Source organism: Homo sapiens, chromosome 13 (assembly GCF_000001405.40).
Source record: "Homo sapiens chromosome 13, GRCh38.p14 Primary Assembly".
Classification (NCBI taxonomy): Eukaryota; Metazoa; Chordata; class Mammalia; order Primates; family Hominidae; genus Homo; species Homo sapiens.
Window position 1 is genome coordinate 67,228,682 of NC_000013.11, and position 7,268 is coordinate 67,235,949.

General features: G+C 38.9%; 1 protein-coding gene across 10 annotated transcripts in view, besides 1 other annotated feature; it reads right to left on the minus strand.

The window, feature by feature from the left end:
- PCDH9 (protocadherin 9) overlaps positions 1 to 1,655 on the minus strand; it is a 927,503-nt gene extending 925,848 nt beyond the window's left edge. For 8 of the 10 annotated variants that reach the window (NM_001318373.2, NM_020403.5, NM_001318372.2 and 5 more), the window contains exon 1: positions 1,099 to 1,655. The gene's annotated coding sequence lies outside the window, so the exon portion shown is untranslated. The remainder of the gene's footprint in view (positions 1 to 1,098) is intronic. The other 2 variants (XM_017020619.3, XM_017020621.3) reach the window with 1 other exon arrangement.
- Positions 1,926 to 2,065: a silencer, noted in NCBI's record as "silent region_5391". NCBI's record gives its function as "represses an Ori minimal core promoter by ATAC-STARR-seq in GM12878 lymphoblastoid cells {active_cell/tissue: GM12878}" and the evidence as "EXISTENCE:reporter gene assay evidence [ECO:0000049][PMID:35858748]".

Here is a 7,268-nt window from a genome sequence, read left to right on the forward strand (position 1 = left end):
TGCTCTGCCACTGTTTGCAAGTTTACTCTGTGGAGAAAAACACTAAATATCTCCTGCTGGTTGCATTTGCCGGGAGAAAATAAAATTTTCTACTTTTGAATTAAGGACAGCTGCTATTTTTACCTATATTCACGCACGTTGTTTTTCAGAATACTGTTTAATTCAAAACATGCATTCTTGTTCTCCTCTTCCCCTCCCCCTGTCTCACCCTCCTCCTAGCCTCTAACCTACCTCCCTCAGTCTTTTCAGGTGCAAGTGAAAAACACTAAGTATTTAGCTACGGTTCCTGCTAATTGCTTTGTCACATGTCAAATGTGTTTTCTTCTCTGCCCCACTGAGTCACCTATCTTTTCTAAAAAGGCTATCTTTTTCTTTCCTCCCAGTTCTTCAACTGCCTTCTAATACAATCTTACTGGGAAACGAGCATCCGGACATGCCGCTGCAGCGGCATCAGAAGCAATAGTCACCGGCCTCTACACATCCTCATTGCCTAAAAGCACAACAACAAGACTTCAGATTTCTTGCCCACAGCTTGCTCTCCTTTCTCCATATTGACAAATTATCCTCATTAGGATTCATAAACACATTAAAACTTTTAAAAATGTATAATAATATAGGATTCATTTTCCTAGAGGTGGAAGAGAGTGCCGAGATATAAGTGAAACGCAGCTAACATTCCCATGTAACATCACAATATTTTCTACTGAACATAAAAGAGAAAAAAAATGCAATTTCTTAATCCTGATCTCTGGTTAGAATATTAGTAACATTTGCCACACATAAATACTGCAACCCAATCATGCAGGTAAAAAGGCTTCTGCTTAGATAACTGCAGTTTAAATGGGTGCAAGGCTCCAGGCAGCTACCTACTTGAGTAGGACTGGTCAGTTCTCAGGCTCTAATCTTATCTGCATTAGGCTGCACAGTAGCTGATGCCCGCGATTAGTTCCGGCAGAGTGATGCAGGTAGGGATGCAGATACAGCCGAGTAGGTGAGCTCTGCCCCAACCGTCTACCCAATTACAAGCATCTTTCGCCTACACTGAGGACACATCTAAACACAGAATTTACAATTGTGCATGCGAAACTTTACACTTACGTTAGTTGCCTCAACCTTTCCCCTTTCCCAGTATGCTGCAGTTAGGAATGATTTGTTCCAACACATAGAAAGCCATGCATCTGGTAGCACCAGTTTGGGGAGAAATCAGAAGCAGCAAAATGTTTCCTCCTTGTAAAATGTGTTGCTTCGGGCTGGCAAATTAGCAACTCCAGAGAACAAATTCACGGATTTGTCGTTAGTCATTCTCTCCACATTTCGTCTCTCTTACCCACTGGGTCTGGGTTCTTCTGGGCATTTAGCACACACAACACATAGTTGCACTTCTTCAGCTCAGGGATATTTTCCACAGCAGCATGCATACCATTTCCATCCGATGCCAATACTGCTTAAGTCTCTAACTTCTTGTAGGAAACGTCAGAGTTGCGGTGATGATGATTCTCTGACAGCTATCCGGGTGACAGTTGCCCGAAAAATTCCTAATCGGTTATCTCTTGCGTGCTTCAGAGACTCTGAGGCGCTCCTTTCCGTCTCGCGTGCTCTCCCTCTCTCCCTTCCCCTCTGCCCCTCTCTCCTTCTCCCTCTCCTCTCTCTGAACTGAATTTCTTGATATAACTCTCAATAAGCCCAGAGGGAGGGCGTGACTGCCCAGGCCCCGCCCCCGGGCTCTGATTGGCCTGCATCTTGCGGCGCGGGCGGCCGCAGCCCGGCGCGAGGGAGGGAGCGCGGAACAAGGCGCTGACTGTCTCCCAGCCTCCCCTCCTCCGCGCCCCCTCGGCAGCAGCGAAAACCCGGAAATCTGATCCTGGCCCCAGGAGAGCCGGGTTCCATGAGGTGCACTGAGCATGCTCTGCAGGGTCCGGCGTGGGAGGGACGCGCTGGCGCTCCCCAGGCCCGGGCGGAAGCGGCGCTCGCAGGCGCTGAAAGCGAGCGACCCTCTGAGCCCGGGTGGTCCGGCGGGCAAGGGCGGCGCGGGAGACCCGCAGGGCGCGGGCGCGGATCCGGGGAACCAGGGCCACCGCTGCGGGCGGATGGGGGTCACCGAGGCGGCTCGTCTCCAGGCGCACACTTCGCACATCTCTTTGCTAAGTGAAGGGGCCAAAATGCACAGATGGGGGAGTCTACCCAGGAACAGAGGCGCGAGACGTATAGCCACCCCTGGGTTGGGAGCACGAGCCAGCAGATCCCCGGAGCGCGTTAAACGGACAACATGCCCGGTGCTGCAAATAGAGGCTTTTGCTGGCAGGGACATTGGAAAGAAGGGCGGAGAGGGAGTACAGCGAAAGGTGGGGACCGCAGAATTTGGAATCTCTGCGGAGACCGGAAAGAAAATTAATCGGAGCACTTCCTACATGCAGAGCCACGGAAACTGCCTTGGAAAGAGAAAGTGGCAGCGTCTGGGTCCCCTCGGTCAGCCCGGGCCAGTCGGCTGCGCGTGCGAAGTCTCCTCTAGCGGAGCGGGACCGGCCGCGGCGGTGGATCGTGGCGGTCCCTGCACTTCTGCTCCAGCCGCGCCTGGAAACCTGAGCCCGGACTCGCGGCTGCTGCAAAACCCGCTTCCAGCCCACCTCACTGCGAACTTTGCTTCCGAGGGGCTGGAAGGAGTCCCAGGCAGCTGTTTCCCAAGCTGTGGAACACTTCCTTTCCCCTAGGCACTTTCTGCTGATTCCAACTTTCTTTCCTGTGATTTTCGTCTTTTCCCGTGCATTTCATTTCTCCGACTCCAGCTCTGTACTAAATCCTCACAAGTTTCTCGTTTTCATACGGGAACTGGATGGAATGACTCCCCAAAAAATACAGCTTTATTTCTCAAATACTGACCCCCAAAGCACTATCTAGTAATATATTTGATTGATCTTTCAAAGTCAGTAAACCACAAAGGTTTGTGTAATGGCTTGTACTTAACGCCTGATACCTGAGTAAAGTTTGAAGCATTAACATAGGAACAGTTCACTTGGAACAAAAATTTATTTTCTGAATGACCTATAAAGGTTGTCAGAGAAGGTCTTAGTACATGATTGAATAACTTGGTCTAACTTACAGGAAGAATAAAGGGCATTTATTTTAAACCTGTGTGTTCCCCATTCTATAATGGGCTGCCTAGGCATTAAAGGCTCTTGACATACTTAAGCTCTTGACTGAGGGCGTGTTGGAGATTACCCCTTGTTTTTGAGTACAATAGTTTTGTTTGCTTTTTTTCTTTTTTAAGTAACATTTGTTTTTAGACGTTTAAATGAAAAGTAAAAAAAAAAAAAAACACCAATCAAGCTTACTAAGCCATATATTGAATAAATAATGACATGATTTAACCAACTAATTTGACATCACAATTTTCCAACATGAAATTGTAAGCTCTTTTTAATTCAAACTTTTCTGAGTTAATATTCACAGTTCAACTGCAGTGTCTAAAAGCCCACTGTAAAATCCATTAATCCCTTATATGTAAAATATAAAATACTTTCCTTGCAGATAATAGACTGATATTTTTTAAATAGCAAAGCAACTTTTATTATAGTAATATTTTGTATGATTAGAATATATAAAATTCAAGAATAGAAAGGACTTACAAGTATCCCAAAGTGAAAAGAAAAATATTGCCTCACAGAATAATGTCAGTGAATGAAAGGATGATTCTTTTATCTTACCACAGTAAACGATCATTTTGCCATTCACAAAATCTACAATTAAAGCTAGTACATTGTTCCAATTGTCACCTATTTTATGCACTGCACTGTTTTTAAATAAATGAACCATCATTGTGATACATTTACAATAAACATAGCAGCACAGCCACTTTCCAGTTCATTTCATAAGCACCACAGTTATATCATATTCTTATTCTAATCATACCGTAGTCATTTCAAAGTCATGTTGTAGTCGCAACACATAGCTTAGCAATAATTATTTAACATCATTATTAAACGGAGTTGTTTCTCTTTGCTAAGGATAGCTTCACGTGTTGGCAGAACCCATTATTACCTCCTGCTCATAAATGAAATCTTAGTTTGAACACAAGATGAAGGTTAGAGAAGAGAAAAAAAAAATCATCACATGATTCAATTAATGACTATGAGACTTCAATTAAAGAAAACCACAGGTCAAAGCCCCAGAATGAAATATGTCTAGATTCTTTTCAAAGGAGATGGAGTTTCAGAGACAAATAGAGCTATGGACTCAGGGCATTATATCCTTTAGGTGTTTATTTGGCATTATCTGAACGACTGAGATTCCTTAATGTTCTCAGTTTTACCTCTTAAATCTAGAATAGTTGAGGCTGGTTTGCCCTATAATAATCCGACTTCTAAACTCTAAAATGAGAACTATTATTAGAGATCTTATTAATATTCCTAGAGGAAAATTAAATATAAAGGGTCATATTCCTAACCCTGTGTTATCACAACTTAAGGTTTCTTCCCAAAACACTATATAAATCATTTTCATAATGAGAGCTGTTCATAATCTACCTCTCCAATATTAATTTTTTAAGTTAGGTCTGTGTAATTATGAATCAGGAAAATATTCTTAATTTCAGTTTTTGTAAGGGAACACCTATTTGTTTTTATGCTGTGTTTTATCATTGTTTTTCCTTAGTGAATTTAATAAAATGTTAGATTTCTAATATCGATCTTCCAGTATATATATTAGACTTTTAATTAGATCTCTTTAGTTAACCCTTATTCATCTTTGTCAAAGCGTATTTTCTACTGCAAGGAATTATGATGTTTTCACCTGTGTTGTACCTGATTAGTAGCATCAGGATACTAATGGGAATTACGCCATTTGAGCTATAGTAAAATTGCTTTAGTGTTTTCTGCTGGTTATATAGGTCATGGGATACTTGTGAAGCTAAGTCACCTTCAGCCAGCTAACTGAAGACTAAAATGCTTTTGCAGATTTAAACACAAACAGATGTGGAGTTAATAAAATTATTTTGTGTTCCACAAGTTTAATATTGTTCTATTTATATATTTAAACAATGATTTCCATGTAATGGCATTTAATAACCTAAATTATTAAGCAGTTCAGTTTGTTAATTGGATTTTCATCTAGGATTTTCTAGTTACCATTCAGCATTTTAAAACTACATTTCACACGGAGATTGTAAAGGCTGTTTCTGTAAGTTACATTTAGAGAAAAGACAGACTGTAATATTCAGAATGATGAAATGACCTCCACAAGGACTTCAAGACTAATATTTTTAACTCTAATATACTAGTTCTATATTCCAATCATAGTTAAAAATAATATAAAAAATACTTTTGTGGCCTGTACTTCTAAGGCTCCTTTAATCCAGGTGTCTTATTATGTCTAACGGACATTAATCAATCAATCACAGGGGCTCTCATGTCACAGCAGGCATTATTGTCCCCATTTCACAAAAAAGACTAGACTATTCTACAGTACTTCTGGGGAAAATTGTGCTAAAAATGCTCAGGGTTATTTATATTATCACTGTTTAGAAAATGACAATGCAGAATTTTAACACCACAAAAAGAAAATTAACACCTTTTAAGGCTATGCAAACTGGCAAAGTATAGTAAGCTCCTTGAATAATTCTGTTGCTTCACTATTTATTATTAGCTCTTTCATTTTGAACCCCTTTTTAAAAATCTTTTTACCTTTTCTTTTCTAGAAAAACCTAGACCATGATAATCAAATCACAAAGGAAAGCAGGTGACAACCTTCATTCTTTTTGAATGACTGAACTAAATTTATCCCAATTTGCTATATTTTTATGACTGACAAGGATTATAAATGTCAGGTTTGTAGCTCTAACAGTTATCACAATATAAACTGACATTTTCCAGTGCCACTATTTTATCATGATTACTATTTAAATAAAGAAAATATTGAATTCTTAAGTTTTATTATTCTTTAAAATTTCAGATTATTTATAGGCATAGCTTTCATAACAGATTTTTTCTGCATCACATGTAGGGCTTAAGCAATCATGTAGGAAAACATAGAAAAAAGTTTTAAGATAGTAAACAATAAACGTACATCATGTTTAATCTTAAATAAGTTGATTACTTTAAAGTCATGTAATTTCCAGTGAAATATAATGTGAAAATCTTTTTATTTCTTGGGTCTTTATGACATTTATTTCTGTAATCTGTAAGGTAAGAACTGTTAGATTGAAATATGGACTATTAGCTATTCAGATTACATTTATAAAATGATAAATGCCTGAAGACGTAAGAAAACCTTGCATATTTTTTGGAAGCACCTCTGTTTAAACTTAAAAATAGAGACAAGAAAATGTTGAGGCAAGAACGCATTTCAAGCACAATAGCATTTGCCCAAAAATAATTCAGGAAACAGTTTTTTAAAAAGGTATGAGAAGTTTTAAGAATTAATAAACATATTACAGTGTTTTAAAAATTCTCTTTCATTACTTTCTTATTCAAAATAGTATGTTCCCTAAAACAGAACTTTGTGTTACCTGAAATAACATTATTTTGGGAACTTTCATTCCCTATTTCTTCAGTCCTCCCTTCTTCATTCTTATAATGTTTTTTGTCTTTTTTTTTTTAATAAACTCACATGATATTCTTCTAGAAGTCCAATTTGTTACATAATGTGCACATAAATAGACTTACTAATATAGGGCAGGATGGATAAGCCTCATTTTTCTCTTATAGTCTCCTCTTAGGAACCAAATTCCCCCCACAGTCCCCCTCTAATTGAATTAGGATGAGTCAGGGAGACAATGTACATTGTTGACTTCTGCAGCCCTGGCTTAACTCCGTATCACTGATAACACCAAAGTAATGGAAATGGGGATTGCTAAGCCTTTAAAAGATACTGTTATGCTTTTTATGAGAATTAAGTTAATATTACTCTGCTTACAAAAATTACATATCTTTGTGTGTTTATACACGTGTTCTTTAGAATAATTTTTTTCTTAAATGAAAATCCTATTCTGTAGTGCCCTGTAATACAAGCCTTTAAATAGTCCTACAATGTACCATGTCTTTTCATTCCCATGCTTATGAATTTACTGTTCTCCAGCCACAGATTGGTAAAACATTCAGAAAGAATTAAGAGAACGTCAAAGAAACTTCTTGGCTGCAGGGAATGGGGTTGGTAAGTAAGCCAGAATGTATCATAAAAAAGATTCATTTTTTTAAAAACAGTATGTCATAAGAAACATTATATGTGGAGCTTATTCGAAACTCTAATTTAAAATATTATCCTTGCAAAAATATCAC